This window comes from Homo sapiens, chromosome 16 (assembly GCF_000001405.40).
Source record: "Homo sapiens chromosome 16, GRCh38.p14 Primary Assembly".
NCBI classification, from domain to species: domain Eukaryota; kingdom Metazoa; phylum Chordata; class Mammalia; order Primates; family Hominidae; genus Homo; species Homo sapiens.
In genome coordinates, this window is record NC_000016.10 from 10922292 (window position 1) to 10943222 (window position 20931).

General features: G+C 51.7%; 2 protein-coding genes across 30 annotated transcripts in view, besides 2 other annotated features; one reads left to right on the forward strand and one right to left on the reverse strand.

Moving 5' to 3' along the window:
- CIITA (class II major histocompatibility complex transactivator) overlaps positions 1-20730 on the forward strand; it is a 76816-nt gene extending 56086 nt beyond the window's left edge. For 12 of the 29 annotated variants that reach the window (NR_104444.2, XM_011522484.4, XM_047434123.1 and 9 more), the window contains 3 exons: positions 116-199; positions 937-1034; positions 1587-14103. Coding sequence is in view for 26 of the 29 variants with exons in the window: in XM_011522484.4 (XP_011520786.1) it covers positions 116-199; positions 937-1012 (160 nt within the window). In the remaining 3 variants the exon portion in view is untranslated. Of the gene's footprint in view, positions 1-115; positions 200-936; positions 1035-1586; positions 14104-14341; positions 15831-18894 lie in introns of those variants that run through there. The other 17 variants (XM_006720880.4, XM_047434114.1, NM_001379332.1 and 14 more) reach the window with 5 other exon arrangements.
- DEXI (Dexi homolog) lies at positions 6600-20177 on the reverse strand. The gene is made up of 2 exons (NM_014015.4): positions 19278-20177; positions 6600-7268 (listed from the first exon to the last, which is right to left on the reverse strand). The coding sequence occupies exon 1, from the start codon at positions 19712-19714 to the stop codon at positions 19427-19429; it is 288 nt and encodes a 95-aa protein (NP_054734.2). The 5' UTR covers positions 19715-20177; the 3' UTR covers positions 6600-7268; positions 19278-19426.
- Positions 8332-8381: an enhancer, noted in NCBI's record as "active region_10401". NCBI's record gives its function as "activates an Ori minimal core promoter by ATAC-STARR-seq in GM12878 lymphoblastoid cells {active_cell/tissue: GM12878}" and the evidence as "EXISTENCE:reporter gene assay evidence [ECO:0000049][PMID:35858748]".
- Positions 19767-20316: a silencer, noted in NCBI's record as "silent region_7195". NCBI's record gives its function as "represses an Ori minimal core promoter by ATAC-STARR-seq in GM12878 lymphoblastoid cells {active_cell/tissue: GM12878}" and the evidence as "EXISTENCE:reporter gene assay evidence [ECO:0000049][PMID:35858748]".

The following is a 20931-nucleotide window of genomic DNA, read 5'->3' on the forward strand; positions in this document are numbered from 1 at the left end:
TGGGAGACACTGAAGTCTCTCCCTGGTGTCCTGGAAGAGCTGGATGTGGGGGTGGCCTTGGTCTGGAGCTGGGGAGTCCCAAGGGCCAGGCCCCAAGGTGAGTTTCTCTTGCCAGCGTCCAGTACAACAAGTTCACGGCTGCCGGGGCCCAGCAGCTCGCTGCCAGCCTTCGGAGGTGTCCTCATGTGGAGACGCTGGCGTAAGTCCAGGCAACCCTGGTGGGTGGAGAACAACTCACTCCCCAGGCGTGTGGCCCAGTGTGACCCCGGAGCTCAAATCATGCTCTTCCCTTCACCAATCTGCAACCCTGGGTGAGCAGACACTTCCCCCTCTGGCTTCAGCTTCTTCATCTGTAAAGTGGGGACAGTAATAATATCCACCCAAGAGGTTTTGTGAGGCTTAAACTAATCAAGCCCTACAAAGCTCTTATAACAACAGTAGCTGGCACACAAAAATGCCAATAAATGCTATATTAGGCTGAACCATATGAAATTGCTGACATCCACCCATTTTTGACCTGTAAAATTGGCAATTTCATATGGTTCAGGTTTATCTTTTATTAAGTCACCATGATGTCCAATACTGGTTACTTTATATTCTTTCAAAGCACTTTTATCTCCACAATCACTCACCTCTTCTAAGACGCACAGGGTGGGTCTTACAAGACCCATTTTACAGATGAGGAAAATAAAGCACAGAGCAGTTAACTAACCTTTCTGGGGTCACACAGCAAGTCAGCTGCAGAACCATAAAGGAATCTCGGGCCTCCTAGGCTTCTCCTTTTCCCCATGACCCACACCGGTCGGTATCTTGCCAGGGGAAAAGTCCCCAACGTTCTAGGCTGGGTGGAAGGAGGGATTTGGGGGCAGCTGTCACTGGGGCCCCAGGCCGCCCTCTCTCCTCTAACCTGGCTCTGAGTCCCATCCCCCCTTGCAGGATGTGGACGCCCACCATCCCATTCAGTGTCCAGGAACACCTGCAACAACAGGATTCACGGATCAGCCTGAGATGATCCCAGCTGTGCTCTGGACAGGGTAACCAGGGTGGGCTTGGGAGGGGAGAGCCGCAGTGGGTTGGGGGCAGTGTCCTTGTGAAGGTGGCATTCAAAAAATGTGGGCGGGACACAGGTGGGGCTAGGCCACCACCCTTGGACGCATGCGTCATCAGAGACATCCCCTCATCTCCACCCTGGGCTCGGTGGAGCTGTCCTCCAGGCTTTGCGAGCTTGGTCCCTGTGGTCAGGCTTAGAGATCAGGGGACAGGAAAGTTGGCCATCCACATCCCACAGCCTCAGTGCTTGGAAGAGCTTCCTTTGGGGACTCCAAGCCTTCCCAGCTGCTGTTTCGGCTTGGTGGCTGCCCTGATGCTCCGGGTTTGTCTCAGATGAACTTGCTTGACAAGTCTCCTGCTCCTCACTATGAAGATCACTGTCCCCCAGCCCTGTGCTCCCCGCACTGTGCTGCACGTCCACCTCCATTCCACTGCCCCTCCCATCCCCCCATCTTGATAGCACCCTTCCCAGGTGTCAAGCTGCCCCTCCTAGAGTGTCCTGCCTAAACCCCCTCTCCTGGCTCCTCCCGCTACAGCATGTTCTCTGAGGACACTAACCACGCTGGACCTTGAACTGGGTACTTGTGGACACAGCTCTTCTCCAGGCTGTATCCCATGAGCCTCAGCATCCTGGCACCCGGCCCCTGCTGGTTCAGGGTTGGCCCCTGCCCGGCTGCGGAATGAACCACATCTTGCTCTGCTGACAGACACAGGCCCGGCTCCAGGCTCCTTTAGCGCCCAGTTGGGTGGATGCCTGGTGGCAGCTGCGGTCCACCCAGGAGCCCCGAGGCCTTCTCTGAAGGACATTGCGGACAGCCACGGCCAGGCCAGAGGGAGTGACAGAGGCAGCCCCATTCTGCCTGCCCAGGCCCCTGCCACCCTGGGGAGAAAGTACTTCTTTTTTTTTATTTTTAGACAGAGTCTCACTGTTGCCCAGGCTGGCGTGCAGTGGTGCGATCTGGGTTCACTGCAACCTCCGCCTCTTGGGTTCAAGCGATTCTTCTGCTTCAGCCTCCCGAGTAGCTGGGACTACAGGCACCCACCATCATGTCTGGCTAATTTTTCATTTTTAGTAGAGACAGGGTTTTGCCATGTTGGCCAGGCTGGTCTCAAACTCTTGACCTCAGGTGATCCACCCACCTCAGCCTCCCAAAGTGCTGGGATTACAAGCGTGAGCCACTGCACCGGGCCACAGAGAAAGTACTTCTCCACCCTGCTCTCCGACCAGACACCTTGACAGGGCACACCGGGCACTCAGAAGACACTGATGGGCAACCCCCAGCCTGCTAATTCCCCAGATTGCAACAGGCTGGGCTTCAGTGGCAGCTGCTTTTGTCTATGGGACTCAATGCACTGACATTGTTGGCCAAAGCCAAAGCTAGGCCTGGCCAGATGCACCAGCCCTTAGCAGGGAAACAGCTAATGGGACACTAATGGGGCGGTGAGAGGGGAACAGACTGGAAGCACAGCTTCATTTCCTGTGTCTTTTTTCACTACATTATAAATGTCTCTTTAATGTCACAGGCAGGTCCAGGGTTTGAGTTCATACCCTGTTACCATTTTGGGGTACCCACTGCTCTGGTTATCTAATATGTAACAAGCCACCCCAAATCATAGTGGCTTAAAACAACACTCACATTTATTCTGCTCACATATCTGTCATTTGAGCAGGGCTCAGCGGGGACAGCTCCTTCTGTCCTACTCTGTGTCAGGTGGGGCAGCTTGAGGGTTGGGCTGGTGTCACCTGAAGACTCATTCTTCTGTACGTCTGACAGGCAATGCTGGCTGTTGGCTGGGGGCCTCAGTGCCACTACGGAATAGTTGGCTAGGACCCCTCCATGTGGGCTAGTTGGGCTTCCTCATAGTATGGTGGCTGGGTTGGAGGGTGTCCCAAAAAGAAAGGAGGGGATAGAGAGAGACCACTTTTCATAACCTAGCCTTAGAAGTCACACAGTATTACTTCTGCTACATATATATGTTTTAAGAGGCAGGGTCTCACTCTGTCGCCCAGTCTGGAATGCAGTGGTATGATCACGGCTCACTGCAGCCTCAACCTCCTGGGCTAAGTGATCCTCCCACCTCAGCCTCCCGAATAGCTGGGACTACAGGTGTGAGTCACCAAGCCCAGTTAATCTTTAGTTTTATTTTTGTAGAGCCAGGGTCTCACTATGTTGCCCAGGCAGGTCTTGAACTCCTGGCCTCAAGTGATTCTCCTGCCTCAGCCTCCCAAAGTGCTGGGATTACAGGTGTGAACCACCACACCCAGCCCACTTCTGCCATATTCTGTTGGCCAGTGTGACAAGGATTGCTACTGTCCTACCCACCCTCCTTTCACCACATGTGCACATGCACGTGTGTGCACGTACACACACATACACACACACGCGTGCACACACCAGAGCCCACCTTGGCTCAAGTCCTCTTTTCTGAGAGGACTTTTCTTTGTGGCTTCCTAAAATTCAGTGGAAAATTAATTGTTTGGGGATGAGAAAGGTTGAAGCACCAAAAGCTTACCAAGGGGAATGTTTGCCTCTGCCTCTGACACACAGCTCTGTCCTGGGAGTGAGCTGGTTTTTAGCGGAGACGGAGTCCCACCTTGGCTGCAGGGAGTCCGAAAGGGACTTGGAAGCTCCGCTTTCTACCCAGCGAGCTGCCGGCACGACTGTTGCTTTTCACTCGGGCATAGTCTGCTCAGAAGCCCCAATTCAAGACATCTTAGCTTACTCCTGGTGGCAGTGGGAGCTGCCTGTTCAGCTCCAGCTCACCAGCCCCAGTGCCCACAGGATCAGTCTGATTCCCAAGCTCTGCTCCTCTCCCCAGCAAGTGAGAGCTGGGTGTCAAGAGGGTCTGAGGAATCCAGACCCGGCTGCGTGGTTGATGATCTTTGCAGACAGGCAAGCACCTCCTGCCTCGAACTGGCTGCAAAGGGTATCAGGTGCTGCCATCCAGGTTCAGCTTGTAAATAGCTCAGGTGTCACCCTGCAAGGGATCCCTGCACTTGCAGACTCTACAGAGGCCATGGGCCTCCTGTGTGTGCGCCTACAGGAGTGAGCACTAAGGTGTGCTCTGATCATCCACTGTGCCATGTGCCAGGTTTTTGGTCTGACCCACTGCTTTTGGTCTGTGTGATGATGAAATGAGGTCAGAGCCTGCAGTTATTAACACTAACGATTTGTTAATGATAGCTACTGTTTATTATTTTATTTAATTTTTTTGAGACAGAGTTTTCACTCTTATTGCCCACGCTGGAGTGCAGTGGCATGATCTCGGCTCACTGCAACCTCTGCCTCCTGGGTTCAAGCAATTCTCCCACCTCAGCCTCCCAAGTAGCTGGGATTACAGGCATGCACCACCACGCCTGGCTAATTTTTGTATTTTTAGTAGAGATGGAGTTTCACCATGTTGGCCAGGCTGGTAATCTGCCTGCCTTGGCCTCCCAAAGTGCTGGGATTACAGGGGTGAGCCACCGCACCCGGCCACTACTGTTTATTTAATGAGCAGATACATGCAAAGCCCTTATCACAGTGCAAGGGAAATTCAAAGCGCTCAGAAAGTATTAGCTCAATAAGTGATGACTGTGTGCCAGACACTGTGCTAAACTCCTACTCAAGAGGGATAAGAGTCTAGGGGCAAGTGGCAGAGACTCTAGAACGAGATTGCCTGGGCTCAACGCCCACCTCACCACTTACTTATGCAAGCTAGTTCTCTGTGCCTCAGTCTCCTCATTTGTAAAATGGGCATAACCACAGCACCTTCTTTATAGGATTATGTGAAGGTGTGGTGAGCTAATACGTTAAGAATTGGAGCTCAATAACATGTTGGCTGTCATTATTACATATATCTGTGTTTCATTCTTGCCTCTGGCTGGAATGTTCTTCCCAGCTCTCCATATGGCTGATTTCTCATCCTTCGGGACTTGCCCCATTCTCCAACCCCATCACTAGTTTTATCTTTTTCACTTATTTATGCAGTCTGCTCTTGTCCTAGGACATGAGCTCCAGGAGGGCGGGAAACATCTCGCTTTGTACACTGCTGTGCCCTCTGTACCCAGCAAGGCGCCTGTGTATAATAGGTGCTCAATAACATAAAATGAACAAATAATCCTCACCTAACGGTTTCATTCATTCTGCAAATACATACTGACAGCACAGTCATGAATAAGATGTTCCTGCCCTGGTGAGTCTTATATTTTAGCAAATTAAAAAAACTCTTTGGACAGGGCTGCCAGGTGAGGTTGGCCAGTCTGTACACTGCACAAAGGCACCTGGGACAAGGGGGAACATGGGGGCTGCAAACCAGTCTGGGTTCTGCTTGCCAAACTGGGAGTCCTGGTGTGGAGCCTTTTAACCCAGAGGGGCATCTTTTCGTAGTTAACGCACAGTCATCGTAAGATGTGGATAAATTACTGTCTCCGTGTCACAGATCTAAGTGATACTTATAGTCACACTCCTATAAAGGAATGGACTTCTGACTTCTTTGGAGGACCTCTCTGCAGGGACAGGCACAGTGTGCCGGAAGTGCCCCTGAACCCCATTTGTCAGGTGGTAAAGCGCTGCTCGGAGGAATCAGGGCATGATAGTGCAATTCCATGTCCAGTGGATTGTAAGTCCACGCACCTTCCAAATGGTCACTCTTCCTCGCAGGCCTCTCTCTGCATACAAATGTCTCCCTCCTGACGCTCACCTTTTTCCCTGGGGCTCTCAAATGTCTTCTTTTCAGATTTCGTAGCTTTTCTTTCTTTAGCATCACTTGAGGGCAAGTGGTGCTCCAACTGTCTCCCCCCAGAGTTCTGCCGCCTGTACTCTCCCACACCTCAGTCTCCTCGCCTGTAGAAAGGGGTCAATCGTTTGAACCCTGCTTCACTTGGTGTGTATGTGAAGGTGCTTTGAAATCAAGTGCTCTGCAAACTGGAGAGAATTACTGCTTGTATTCCGTGAAACTACAAGCTCCCAATTCCACTCATTTAATCCCTCTCTTGCTCTGTTGCCCAGGCTGGAATGCAGTGGCATGATCTCAACTCACTGCAACCTCTGCCTCCCTGGTTTCAAGCAATTCTCCTGCCTCAGCCTCCCGAGTAGCTGGGACTATAAGTGTGCGCCACTATGCCTGGCTAATTTTTTTGTATTTTTAGTAGAGATGGGGTTTCACCGTGGTGGCCAGGCTGGTCTCGAACTCCTAACCTCAAGTGATCTGCCCGCCTCGGCCTTCCAAAGTGCTGGGATTACAGGCATGAGCCACCATGCCAAGCCCTTCCCCCCTATCTTTAATGAAGGTCTACCATGTGCCTGACACAGGGGATACCCACCCCCACTTCTATGGGATTCAGGCCTGGTTTCCAGCTTGGCCTTCAGGCTTTTCCCACCACACCCCAAATGCTGTCCCTGGCTTGTGGAGTGGGGCAGGGGGCCAGCCTGGGACTTTCACGCCAGCCCGACTGGGGCAGACTCTCTCAACCCCACTGGATCTTCTGCTGTTTGTCAGCCACAAGGTTCTGCCTAGAACTCCTTTCCCGAATCTCAAAGTTAAAAAAAAAGGCAGGGCCCCAGGGGTTGGAGTTGCATACATTTTTTTTTAATCCAAAGAAGTAAGCCTCCTAAGTATTGCTTAGACAGGTTTATCAGAATTAAGTAGGCACAACACTCATACTTTCAGAAAAGCATTTCCAGCCAGGGGAGTAACGTGGCACTCACCAGCATGATGTCTGTTTTGCCAACTTGCTGAAGAACGAGTAACCTGAAATGAAGGAGCGAGAATCCCACCCTCAGCCCCCCAACAGCTTCCTCAGCTTCTTTTTCTTCTGAGTCACCCCTGAAACAGTCGCTGCATCTAAGACCAGCCTCGGGCTAAACCCAGCTGGCCTGAAGGCTCAACTCACATCAAACGGAGCTGGGAGTCGCTTTTGCGTGTGTCCGCAGTTTGAAGTGTCCTCTCCGAAGGTGAAGTGGGGGAAGCAGGTGCGCTCCGGGATGAAGTGCAGGGAGGCAAACTCTGGCTGGGTTCCTGTAAACATCCATCGCAGCTGCAAATAATCAGAAGCCAAGGCCAGGCCATCGATTTGACACTGCAGGCAGATGAGGTCTTGGGATGCCTCTTGCGTTCCCCCTTCTGTGGGAGCAGGTGCCTTCCCAACCTCAGCACTCAGTCCCAATCTCTCTTCCACTCTCCTGGGTTCAAACAGGAACCTCTCTGTTGGCACGAAGCTTTTGAGGGGAGCAGGTCTAACAAGAAGGAAAAAGGGGGGTTATTAGCACGGAAGCCCCACCCTGCCACCAGGTTGGCTGGGGACAGGGACCAATCCACCAGGCTCGGGAGGCTTGGGGTGGGGCAGGGAAGTCTTCCTCCATCCCTCAAATTTAGGGAACCACTGGGAGCCCCAGACTCAGGCTGAAAATGTCTTTCTGCAAATATAAAACTCTTTTTAATGAATTTGCCTAATTTCTCAGAGACCCTGGGCTGGAGAACCAGTGCAATGTCACACGGGAGAGGAAGGACTGTCCTGTTTATTGGGAGGGAGGAGGGGGATGCTGGTGCAGCCTGCTCAGGAGTCACCCAGGGTCTGAGGGCTGACTTGCAGCTCTGGGCCAGCTGAGCCAGCGCTGGGTAGTGGGCAGGGCTTGGCAACACCTTCCACCTTGCCCGGAAAAATGCTTTGCAACCTACAGGAAGGCAATAGCCACAGCCAAGTTACTCAGCAGCCCCACTTGGCTCTTTCTCCCAGGATGCAGCATCATCTCCATGGCCTGGCCCCCTGGCACGTCCCCGTTTCCCACTGCCTTCTCTGTGTGCCTAGCCGGGTGCCAGTGTCTCTGTAGCACCTCGTGTTCCCATGCCCAACCCCTCTGCAGCCCCCTCAAGCCCTGCTCTGATTCCAAGCCTCATCTCCCAGCTCACTATCCTTTCCGCAAACTTCACTGAACATCTCGCAGAACTTGTATGTTAAACATGTGACATGTATTGTTGTTTGACAGGGTGCTATTGACATTTGGGGTAGGACAATTCTTGGAGGTGGGGTGGCTGTTCTGGGCACTGAGCATTTAGCAGCATCTCTGGCTCCAGGCCACTAAATGCCAGTAGCACCCCTGGCCACTGGAACAACTAAAAATGCCCTCCTACCCTATTTCCAAGGTCGACCTAAGGGGGCGGAACTGTTTCCATTGAGACCCATGCATCGTATAGGATAAGAAACTGAGGTTCTTATCATTTAATAGGATAAGAAATTGAGGTTCAGAGAAGCCAAGTAACCTGCCTAAAGATGCACAGCTATGAGAGGCAAAGCTGGCACTGGCTTGGTAATAACGATGGAAACGGTCTGAATGAGAGCAGGTACCATTTCCTGAGCTCTTAGCAGACGCTGAGGACCCTGCTAAGTGCCATGAGACCTTAGCAGAGGCTGTGGGTGCCCCGCCCCATTCCCTCCACTCACTCTTCCTTGCAGGTCGACCTGCCCTTCTTTGCTGAGGCCTTTCTCTGCCTCCAGAGCCTGCTTGGTCCTCAGGCTGTAAGTGCAGGCAGAGCTAATGTCTCTCCATAGCTGCCCTCCACCAGCCTGCTCCTGAGACACCTGCTGGCCAGCAGCCTGAAGCAGAATCCTTTACTCAGATTCAGCCGCACAGATGCTCACTGCAGAGATCTCCAAGGCCTGTGGTCATCCTTGAGCCCATCTCAGATTTGTGTGGATAGGGTGTTAGAGAACATGGAATCAGCTGGATAGAGTGGTTCATGCTTGTAATCCCAGCACTTTGGGAGGCTGGGGTGGGAGGATCACTTGAGGCCAGGAGTTTGAGACCAGCCTGGGCAACACAGTGAGACTGTCTCTATAAAAAATTTAAAAATTAGCCAGGCATAGTGTAGTCTCAGCTACTTGGAAGGCTGAGGCAGGAGGATTGCGTGAGCCCAGCAGTTCAAGGCTGCAGTGAACTATGACTGTGCCCCTGCACCCAGCCTGGGTGACAGAGACCCTGTCTCAAAAAAAAGAGAAGATGGAATCACTCGGTGAGGACCTCACTCCTCTCCCAGTCCTGTGACCACAAACCGCATCCCCGACAGTCCCAGCCAGGCGCTAGTCTGGCTGTAGCTGCCCTCTTGTGTGCAGATCTCCAGTCTGAATGGGCTACACGTGGAATTTACTAACACTCCGGTTTTCATTGTGTTTATCTGTAGGGTTACCTTCTATTTATAGCAAGTGATGCCAAGTTTCCATTTCTGGTAGTAATATAGTTTTTCTTTTCCAAGTCGCTCACACCTGTAATCCCAACACTTTGGGAGGCTAAGGTGGGTGGATCAGTTGAGATCAGGAGTTTGAGACCAGCCTGGCCAACATGGCGAAATGAGGTCAAGACTAGCCTGGCCAACATGGCGAAACCGCGTCTCTACTAAAAACAAACAAACAAAAATACAAAATTCGCTGGGCATGGTGGCAGGTGCCTGAGGTCCCAGCTACTCGGGAGGCTGAGGCAGAAGAATCGCTTGAGCTAGGGAGGCAGAGGTTGCAGTGAGCCGAGATCACGCCACTGCACTATAGCCTAGGTGACAGAGTGAGACTCTGTCTCAAAAAAACACAAAAGTTTCTCTTTTCAAAACATTTTACTTTAAAAGGAGCCAATTTAAAGAAAACTGTTAATAGTTCAGGTAACAGGCAGATACAGGAAAAGCTGCTGACAGTGTTGTATGAGGTTTGAGGATTTTGATCCAAGCTGGTCCCACTCAGTCCATAGCAGAGAATGAAAGGGCCCAGAGAGGGTGGTGACCTCTGCCTGAAGTCACACAGTGAGTCGAGGACAGGGAGGTGACCCCAGGTTTCTATGTGTAGGGCGGGAGGATGTTCTGGGACACAGTTCAATTCTCATTTGTCACACACTTTGGCTATTAGAGATCAACCCCTTCGCTCCTGTGTCTTGCAATGGCAGCCTTGGCAAACGCTAAATGAAAATCGTGACAACACTTGTGTTATGAAGCATTTACTTTGTGTTCACCTTGTACTACTCGAACTCATGTCTTAACTCACTTATCCCTCAAAAACAACTCTAGGAGGTAGGGCCAAGTAGGACCATCATCCCTGCATTTCACATGGAGCTCAGAGAGGTTAAGCAAGCCGTGCAAGGCCACACAGCTCATAAATGGCAGAGCCAGGATTTGAACCCCCGTGGCCTGACCCCAAAGCCGAAACCACTCGGCACTGCAGGTTCGTCCCTTTTCTCTGAGATGGGGGTATCCAATCTTTTGGCTTCCCTGGGCCACAGTGGAAGAACTGTCTGGGGCCACATATAAAATATACTAATGATAGCTCATGAGCTAAAAAATAAAACAAAATCACACACACACACACAAAAAAACACAAACCAAAAAAAAAATTCTTTTTTTTTTTTTTTTTTTGAGACAGGGTCTTGCTTTGTCACCCAGGCTGGAGGGCAGTGGCATGATCTTGGCTCACTGCAGTTCCAGGTTCAAGCAATTCTCATGCCTCAGCCTCCTGAGTAGCTGGGACTACAGGCGCATGTCACCATGCCTGGCTAATTGATGTATTTTTTAGTAGAGATGGGGTTTCACCATGTTGGCCAGGCTAAAATCTCATAACGTTTTAAGAAAGTTTATGAATCTGTGTTGGGCCACAGTCAAAGCCGTCCTGAGCTGTATGCAGCCTACAGGCCGCACCACGGATTGAACAAGTTTCTTCTAAGGCATCAAGAGCCCCAGGCTGAAAAGCACCCCAGAGCTGGAGCTTATAGAACCCAGGGCAGCAGGTTCTCCAACCTTCTGACATCATCAGAGCACAGCAGACAAGTTATCAGCCACTAGATTTTTTTCCCCCTTTCTGAAACTGTAACCTTTCATTCCAGCCATTCCCCAGAGCTGGACAGAGGACGTGGCTGGCTGGCTGGTTTCTGTAGTCAGAATGACAGTTGGGTGCTAGATCCCCTTCGTGAAGCAATGTCTTAGCTCAGTAACTCTGCAGAGAAGCTGCCTGGTTCAGGATGTGGCTTAAGTAAGAAGATGGCCCTGGCGTTTTACGCGCACTGGTGGGTGAGGCTCTGAAAGTGGTAGAAGGGAATTCTTTCCTAGAGTTCAGCTGCCCGCTGTCCTGCTCCTCAGGGCAAATGCTGTGAGATCTGCATTTAGCCTGTCTGTGCTGATTGTGGTTCTGCCCCTTCCTGGCTGTGTGACCTCAGACAAGTCACCCACCCTCTCTGGGCCAGTTTCCTCATCTGGAAAAGGGGACAGTGCCCACCACATTGGGCTGTTTGTGTCCATGGAGTGCCTGACAATACCCAGCACACACGAGACATCAGTACAGGGTGGTTCCTTCCCTCCTTAGCCCCACCTGTTCCCAGGTAGAAACCAATACCGGCAGGGAACCTTCTCAAGGCTAGGGGCCTTCTGAAAGCAGCAGCACTTTTCCTCCTTCAAAGACCTTGCCTTCTAGAAACCCATTGCTCATTCCTTTCTCCATGTACCAAAAAATCAATTAAAGTGGCTAAAGACAGACGTCACCCTCCCCTACTCACGCAGCCATTCTGATCCTCCACGCTGGTGACAGGCTATGTGGCAGGAGGGTCTCTACCTTATCTCAGAATGAAGGCATGGCTGGGGTCTGGCTGTCTCCTGGTGGCCGGAAGGAGACAGACGGCAAAGGAGAAGCTGCCTGTCTCTGCACAGGTCCATGTCCCTGAGGAAAGCCAACGTCACAGAGAAATGATGACCACTTTCTCAAACCTGGCTTCGGATTTGCACGTTGGCTGCCAAAGCTGATCAGCAGCGGGCTTTGTGAAGATGCCTGGTCTACCACGTGCCTCCAGCTGGTCACGCCCAAGACTCCCTGAGCCCTCTGGAAGGGCAGCACTTGCCCAGTGCCTCCCTCCAGGTCCTGCCACATCCAAGAACCACCTGGACTATTATTTACTTAGTATTTTAAACCAATGTACTTTTTAAACTCCAATTTTTTAATAAGATCATTTATGTCACCATATAACACCCAAAGCAGTAGAATTTGTCATACACAGAAGGCAATGCTAAAAATACAATGAAAATGGAACCAGGAAGTCTAGCTTGATACCCTTGGCCTGTATAACTGAGCCTTGTGCCAGTTAAAAGGGCAAAGCAGTAGGTGCTCAGGGGGTGTCGGGGCCCTGAGAGCTGATCTGATCCGCTGCTGCGTATTCACTACCGCCCTGGGACGCCTCCAGCAGACCACCTCACTGGGGGAAACATCAGGACAGCGTGGCCAGGAGCCCAATGCTGCCACCTCATAGATGGGTATCTGAGATGAGTCATCGAACTTCTGCAAGCCTCAGTTTCCTCCCTGGTCTAATGGAACCCTCCTTGGCGGCTTCACAGGGTGATGCTTGGGGCAGGTGATGGAGATGTGGGAGAGGCAGTTATTTTTAACCACCCAGCCAAGCCCCTTGCCAGGAGGGACTCCCAGAAATGAAGCCTTACCCTTGAGGGAGTTCCCCGCCACTCCAAGCTTGGGGCCTGGGATGGCAGCTGTGAGGGCACCAGCACCATCTGGGGACTCGCTGGGTACCAATTATCACCGCCCTTGGGCTACTTCAAAGGCTGCCCACACAGACACACCCTCCTTGGTAACCAGTCCTCAGGAGGAAGGGCACCCAAGGAAAGGGGGAAGGCTTCCTGGGCTAGAGCCCCTTCAGGGTCTGACACGCCATTGACACTGACCACGTCATTCATTAAGCAAGCACCAACTATACATCATTCACTATCCCAATCTAATTTGCACAAGCCCTTAGGCAGGTGCTACTATTATCCCTGTTTTACAGAGAAGGAAACCGAGGCTTAGGAGATGAAGTCTGAGGTGTTGGTGGAGCTGGGATTTAAACCAAAATATGTCCAACTGCAAAGCATGTAAGTAACAATTTTAGAGGGTATACGGAGGTGACCCTAAGTAACAAGGAATCACATATAGTGAGCAAGCAATTTGCTTTTCAGTTTTTGGTCAATCCTTATGATTATTTAGAGGAGAAAGTTCAGTTTGGTGCTGGTATATCTTATGTTTATCACCCGACAGTTGTTAATCTCTTTTTAACAAAGAATACAGGCCAAGGCCCTGTGACTTTAGCTGGCTTTGGTATTTGGCCAAAAGTTAATGACTTTGGCAGTTAGTGTTTTTATCCATGCCAAGCGATGATGATTTTCTCTTTAGTGACAGACATTTTTTAAAAAATAAATTCACATAAAAAAGTAGTTTTACAGATGAAGCACTAAAACTAGTGCATTTCATCTTAAACTGCAAATTATAAAGGGAATAATAGTAACTTGACAGTGGAGAGACCTGGCAGACACCACCTTCACCAACTGATCAAAGTTAACATCGCCAGAAAGGGGACAGATGGCATGTGCCTCTCGATAAGATGCACTGAAGACACACACTCACTTCTGCAATATTCCTGCCAAGAATGCCTCATCTGAATCTAATCTCGAGTATAACCATCAGACAAACCCAAATTGAGAGACAGTTTACAAAACACCAGCCTTGTACTCTGCTTAATATGTCAATGTCACAAGAGAGAAAGACAGACTGAAGAGCTGATCCAGACTGAAGAAGGCTCGAGATTAATGCAAAAGCTGATCTGGGATTGCATCTTGGACCTCAACTCTCCCCTTTTTATTGTTAAGGGACACTACTGGGACAATTTTTTTTTTTTTTCGTTTTGAGACAGGGTCTCGCTCAGTCACCCAGGCTGGAGTGCAGTGGTGGAATAATAACTCACTGCAGCCTTGAACTCCCGGACTCAAGCAATCCTCCTGCCTGAGCCTTCCGAGTAACTGGGACTATGGGCGTGTACCACAACACCTCGCTATTTTTTTTTTCCTACTTTTTGTAGAGACGGGGTCTCACTATGTTGCCCAGGCTGGTTTCAAACTCAAGTGATCCTTCCACCTCAGCCTCTATAAAATTTGAATAAAGTTGTAGATGAGATTGGTCATAGGATTGTATAGTGTATCAATATTAGATTTGCTGATTTTGACAACCCTACTGTGGTTATGCAAATTTGTCCTTGTTCTAAGGAAATAAATACTGAATTATTTAGGAGTAAAGGTGCATAATGAACCCATTTTCAAATGCTTATGAAAATTACACATATACACATGTGTGCATATACACAGGCATGCATATACAAACAGAGGGAAGAGCATGCACGTGTACATGAGCAAAGTGCTAACTGGTGCAACTGGTGAGTTTGGGCGGGCATTGTTTGTGCTCTTGCAACTTTTCTGTAAGTGTGAAATTACTTCATAACAGAGGTTTTTGTTTGTTTGTTTGTTTTTAATTCAGGAAAAAGTTGGAAGAGTGCGTATGAAATAGGCCTGGCAGAAACTATGAGCTGGTGTTCCAAGGTCGGGGATGGGGAGCCCTCACTGGAGGCACCCCTCAAACCCTCAGTGCTGTGGCCAGGGAACCGGGCTGGCAGTCTTAGTTGGCTTTGTTCCCTCGGCCTCCACTTCCCCATTCTGTGCCTCCATTTATTTGTGAGACAGGGATAAAGAGGTCTGCCACTTTTATTGTGATCTTAGGTTTCCCAAAAGCCGAGTATGCTTTCAGAAGTTCTGGGAGGAAAGCTAGCAGATAAACCAGAAATATGAATATCCAAATTGAGAGAAGCCCTCACTTTCTTAGTTCGGCAAAACAGACACATGAGCTGTAAGTGGGGCAGACCCTGCCTGTTTCTTGGCTGAAATCTCCAGTTTGTATAATTCAGGGCTAAGAGAGCAGGACTCTTGACATCTCACTGTCTTGAGACACATACTGGGGTTTTCTCCTGTCTGAAGACGCAGCTGGCACCAATGTACCCTATGGCCAAGGACCTTCTGGGTGAGCCTCATGTCAGGAGCAGAGCTGGAGAGGTGGCCAGGCCTGGGGGTATACTTGCCTCCCTGTGTCACCATTGTCTGTCTCTTGCTTAGATGACAGCCACAGCTTCCTGGCCTGGTTTCCTGCATCCGCCCTGACCCCTGGCTGTGGGATCTCCCATAACTCAAATCTGACTGTGTCCCTGTGGAAGGTTTGGGTTTCTGACCTGGGCAGCTCTATGTCCGGCACAGGGGTTCTGCTGATAGCACAGGCCACAGATTGGCAAGGAGGGACCAGGTTAGGAAGGAGCAGCTGTGGTTCCTAGTTGGGAGATAACTGAAGCCTAGGAAATCCTGGAATAAGATAGACCAATGCATCGATAACCCTCAGCTCCAAATCTGAGCTGCACCAGGACAAGCTGACTCTGGTGGCAACGTTCTCCAGTCTCTGCATTTTCAGCTCGCTGTGTGCCAAGAGAGGGCTGGCAGGTACCAGCAGCTTTCACTTTCATTAGGAACCGGGACGAATAATCCAACTGAGCTGCCTCTGCACCAGAACTGCTGGGACGTGAAGACTCTCCCTGGCTCCCAGGCCAGCCACTGCAGCCCTTTCTCCTGGGAAGGAGGGAGCTCCCGATTCCCCATTCCCTGCTCCTGGGCAACAATTAACACTCTAGGAAAACCACAGAGCCGGCTATCCAGGGTTCTGGTGCCCTGGGGACCACAGGGCAGCAAGAAAGTTCTCCTAAGGGTCCTGGGGCTGGGAAGGCAGAGTGGGAAGTCTCCCCCAGCTAGGCTAGACCTGGACCTCCCTGGCACTCAGGCAGCCTGTCCTCTTCTGCTCACAGGATATAAATATTCATGCATGAGTATAGGTGCAGGTTTGTACATTTGCAAGGGCATGGGTATAACACGCTTTCCATTGTATCCGACTATGAATATGAGTGGTTAATATTAATACATCTCTTACTATATACAAGGAGATCTAAGTGCTTTATGTATATCTCACCTAATCCTCACAACAAGGGAGATTTTCATTATTTCCATCTTCTAGAAGAGGAAACCAAAGTACAGGGAGGTTAAGCAGCATGCCCAAGGTCACAGCTACCCTGGGATGTGAACCCAGGGCCCTGGCTCTTAACCATGACCCTAATACTGCCTCCTCAAGTAGGTGCTCAGCAAATGTTTGAGGAACTGAATTATGTGGGTCCACACATAAGAGAAAAAAAAAAAAAAGAGGGAGCAAAAGTAGGTGCACCTGTTCATCTTGAGATTCATCCTGGGCCCCACTGTGTGACATGCTCCACGCCCTTAGTCACTGTTTCCTGGATTGGCGTGTGGGGAACACATGTGACCACATGAGAATGGCTGAGAAAGAGCAGGACTGACTACCGGCGTTCCCCTGCTTATGGAAAGGGGCCTGGAGATGAGGCTCGGTCAGATCATCTTGAGGTCTTTCCTGGCGGCTTCCCTGCTGCTAGCTACCCCTCTCATACCCTGGGGTTCTGAGCTTCCTCGGCACTTGGGGGCAAGGCCTCCTTGGCTTGGATTTGAGGGTGGGGAGGAGGGAAGGCTGTGCATGGCTTCCACCACTTCTCCAGGCCTCCCCACTTCCCAGGGTCAGGCCCTGACACCCCGAGAGCTTTGCAAGGGTGTCCCTGAGAGATATTTCCTGGTGTTTCTGCTTAAACAGCGTTTGCTGCAAAATATGTCGAAGCATTTGGGATTCAGTTTTTAGTTCAGAATATGCCAATGTTTTCATTTGGAAGGGGAAGTGTTTCTGTTGATGTGGTAAAGAGATAAAATAAGACGTTCCTCACCAAGTTACACTGCTTCAAAGTCAAATGCTTGGCTTGGAGACAGGGATTTATCTTGGGATCGCAGGCCCTTAGCACACGGCCTGGCAGAAGAGCAGGCAGGGTCAAAGTCTGTTGAATGAGTGAGTGCATATGCAAAGGGCCTAGACACAGGAGTGCGATACAATCAATGCTCAGTACAGATTTTGAATGGATTCCATAGGTTCTACTTTTGAGAGTTGTTCTCAGTCTGTTCATGTTTCTCTATCTTCACTAAACTCCCCTCATCCAAGCCTCTGTCACCTCTGGCCTGGACAACTAACAGCATCTGAGGTGGTGGCCCTGCTTCCCCTCTTACCCCTCAGCTCATTCTGTCCACAATTGCCAGAGTCATTTTTGCAAAATGGGAATGGGATTGTGTCATCTCCTGCCTAGAACCTTCCAATGGCTTTCCACTGCTCTTGGCTATGGCCTTCCAGGTCCTCCATGGTATGGCTCCCACCCACCTCACTGACCTTTCCTGGGGCTGTTCTCCAGCCACATGGGCCTCCTTTTGGTTGCGGAAAAACCAACTCTCTCTCACCTGAAGGTCTTGGCACCACTGATTCCCTCAGCCTGGACTGCTTTTCTCCAGATCCTTCTATCAAATTAAGGCTCAGCTCAAAAGCATCATCTCCTTAGAGAGGCTTTCTCTGACCCCTCAGCTAAAGCAGCCCACCATCTCTATCCTACCGTTTCACTTCTGTTTCACTCCATGTCTACACCTACAGAGACCGTCTACTAGAGGCCAGGCACAGTTTTAAGTGTTGAGGACATGGCAGTGAACACAACAGGGAAGCTCATGTCCTTCTTGCCTGCCTTCATAGTTCCGAAAAAATCTGATTCTCTTGTTTGGGTTCCTACTAGTCTTCCTCACCAAGTGCCAAAGGGCCAAGGCTTGGTCTGTCTTGTTCACTGTGTTCAATCACCAGGCACTGTACTGAACCAACAAGCATTCATTCTGTAAAAGAACGGACGGATGGATGGCAGGCAGGCAGGCAGGCTGGGGAGGTGTGCAGAGCACCTGGCACACACTCCCCCTGGCACTTGGTTCTCGCTAAGATGTTACTGAGCTCAACTGAAGCTTTTTCTTCAAAGAAATCTCACTGTGAACCCATTAGGAGAGCCCTCTGCCGCCAGCTATGCTGTCAGTAGGTCCTACCCCACCCTGTACCACCATCTGCAACAGACTCAATGTTTGTGTCTCCTCAAACTTCATATGTTGAAACTCTGATCCCAAATGATGGTATTGCGGGGTGCGGCCTTAGGGAGGTGATTAGGTCACGAAGGCAGAGCCTTCATGGGTGGGATTAATGCCCTTATAAGAACAGTAAGAGATAAATGTTTAAGTCCCCCAGCCTATGGTGTTCTGTTATAGCAGACTGAACTAAGACACCCTCTGCCTGTGGTTGTCTTGGCAAAGCCAGGTAATGCAGGAGAGGGGTGGACTCAGCCTGCTTGCGGTGAATGGCATTAGTGTCCATTTTCCTAAAGGAGCCCTTGCCCACCATATCTCAGCATCCCCTCTTCATTGCCACTTAGACCCTGTGCCCAGTGACACTCCAGTACTGTCCAGTCTCAGGGGCTGAGCCAAGGCGTTCCTGCCTGCCCTGTGACCCTCACCAGACCTGGCAGCTGCCTGACAGCTTGTCTGGCTCACGTGTTCTCTCTAATTGAGTCTAGCTGCCTCTCTTCCTTGTGACTATGACCAAGTCTTACTCCTTCCTGGACCTTCATTTCCCTACCTCTCACATACACAGTGGGCTGGATGCTGGATGCAAAGCTCCCTCGTCACAGCCCCAAAGACAGGACTTGACCATCTCAGTGCAATGACCCTGTGGTGCCTTCTCCCGAGGACCTAAGAGCCCCCTGAGCGCTTGCAAACACTGCAGACAAAGCGAGCCCTGGCACCAGCTCCCTGCCTGCCTGTTCTGTGAAGGGAGCCTACAAAACTGGCAGCCCCTGCAGTTCTGAGCTGCAGAACTGATGAGCTGGGGCACCCTGAAACCTGACTCCAAAATAGCAGCAAACCCAAGGCCAAAAGGAAGTACGGGCTTCTTTGCTTGCGATTTCTCCTCTCACAGCTTTGGCCTAGAGCCCCTGCACTTAATCCCCACCCAGCTACCCCAAGGGCCACAGTACAAAGGTGATTCGTGCCTGGCTCCCTGTGTCTTCTGACACCCCTAAATCTTTATCCTTCTAGGACAAGCGAGAATCCCCCAAAAGCCAAGGTCATCATCAAGCCAGGATGAGGACTGGAGGAGGAGCTGACAGCTCTGCCTCAAATGGATTTGGGAGCGAAGGCTTTTTCCATAAGCTTTGGGGGTAAGTCACAGAGCTACCCCAAATGTAACTTAGTCTCGGGGTCTCCTTCCTTTTCACCAGCTGTCCCCTTTGCTGGAGGAAGCTTTCCAGCCCAAACGAAGGGCTTAAGAGGAGTCTGGCCATTCCTGGCATCCAGTTAGACCTGGAGGAGGTGAACGGAGGAGAAGCCTGAGGGAGGGGTGTGTATCCGGCCTGGGAATTCCTCCCTCTCCCTTGCTAGCGCCCCAACCCGCCCTCATCCTGTTCAGAGAGGGCACTTACAGGCCTCGGAGGCAGGGGAGGGTCTCCTCCTGGGGAACCATCCCCGTCCAGATGGTGCCCCCAACCAGCTGCGGCGGCATGATCTGGGCGGCTGGTCCAGGGCATGGGTTGCGGATCGTGTAGGGAAGAGGGGAACAGCAGTCGAGACCCTACTCCAAGTACGCATCAAAGACGTCGAGCTCCGAGTCAGCATCGTAAAGGCCCGAGCCGGGGTCGGAGAGCACGCCGAGGTCCACGAGCGCCTGGTCCATGTCCTCGGGCAGGAAGACGAGGCCCACGTTGAGGACGATGTACTCCATGAGGAAGGCGTAGTACAGGATCAGCACATTGACGAAGAACAGGCCCACGTAGAACATAGAGGGCAGCAGCGGCGGCGGCACGTAGGGGACCAGGGGGCCCAGTGCGTCCAGGTGGGCCGCGACCCGGGCGCCGAGCATGCAGCGGGTGGCAAGGGCGGCGGCCCGGCGATCCCGGCGAACTCAGCCGCTGCGGCGCCCGGGCGGCCGGCGAGGGCACAGCGCAGCCATCCAGGGGTACCCTGGAGCCCGACAGAAGCAGGGCCGGGCTCCAGATGTCCCCTGGCAATTGCGCCCCGACCCCCGAAATGCGCCGGGCGGGTCACCGCACCCCGAGATGTGCCCCCAAGGATCTCTCGACCGCCCGGGCGGCGAGGCGGGCCCCCCTGAAGTGGCCCGCGGCTGCCCGGCTCCCTCGTGGCGCCTCCCTGGCGCTCGCAGGGCCTCGCAGAGCCGGTGGGGATCCCACCGCGGCTCAGTGTCTAGGGCCGGTCCCGGCAGCCTTCTCTCCCGCCCCGCCCCGCAGGTCCTCGCGCACCCCCCGCGCCCCCGCAGGCCCAGCACCCATGGCTGCGGCCGCCGCGTAGCCCTCCCGGTGGCGCTCGGAGCTCCGCCTCCCGAGGGGCCCCGAGCTCATTGGCAGGCCGCCCCCTGCACGCGCTAATTGGCCGGCTCAACGCCCGCGCTGATTGGCTCCGGCCGCCAGGGGGCGGGTACCGCTTCGCTCCGCCCCTCGGGGCCCTAGCGTCTGAGTTGCTTTCCTGGTTCGGGTCTGCCCTCAGATCTCAAATCGAATTCGCTCTGCGTATCGAATAGGGGGAGGTAAAAGAGACTGAACACAGTTCAAACCTAGACATAATGCTAAGGCCGCAAAAGCCGAAGGAAACCCGGGCTACCGCTGCACCTTGCTGCATGCCTCTTTGGGACTCCGTTTCTCCTTTAAAAGGAGGCGGGGTCGGGGAGGGGCGACGGACGGTTGCCCTGGAAATTTTGGACATTCCCAAAGCGCCAATTTTCATGGTGGAGATCCACCAGTGTCCCCTTCGCTTCTCCAAACTCTGGTTGCTGGAAGGTCCGCCCACTACGGAACCTGCATCCTAGAGTTAAGGAACACCTGAATAAAGAGATTCCGAGGTAGTTCAGATCTTCAACCATAAGGATGCTTTTTGTTTCTTTTTACTTTGTGAATCATGTTTAAAAGCAATAATACACATGGCTAAACATTCAAACAACCGTGAAGTACACAGAAAAGTGAGTCTCTCCCACCCACTGGTTCCCCTGCTCTTGGGTAACCGTTGCATGTCTTTCAGGAAAACATGATCTCGCCCAAAGAGCCTTCCAAAGCAGTTCAAGAAACC

Coding starts and splice junctions, on each gene's coding strand:
- DEXI (NM_014015.4), bottom strand. CDS start 19,714: ATGCTCGGCGCCCGGGTCGCGGCCCACCTGGACGCACTGGGCCCCCTG.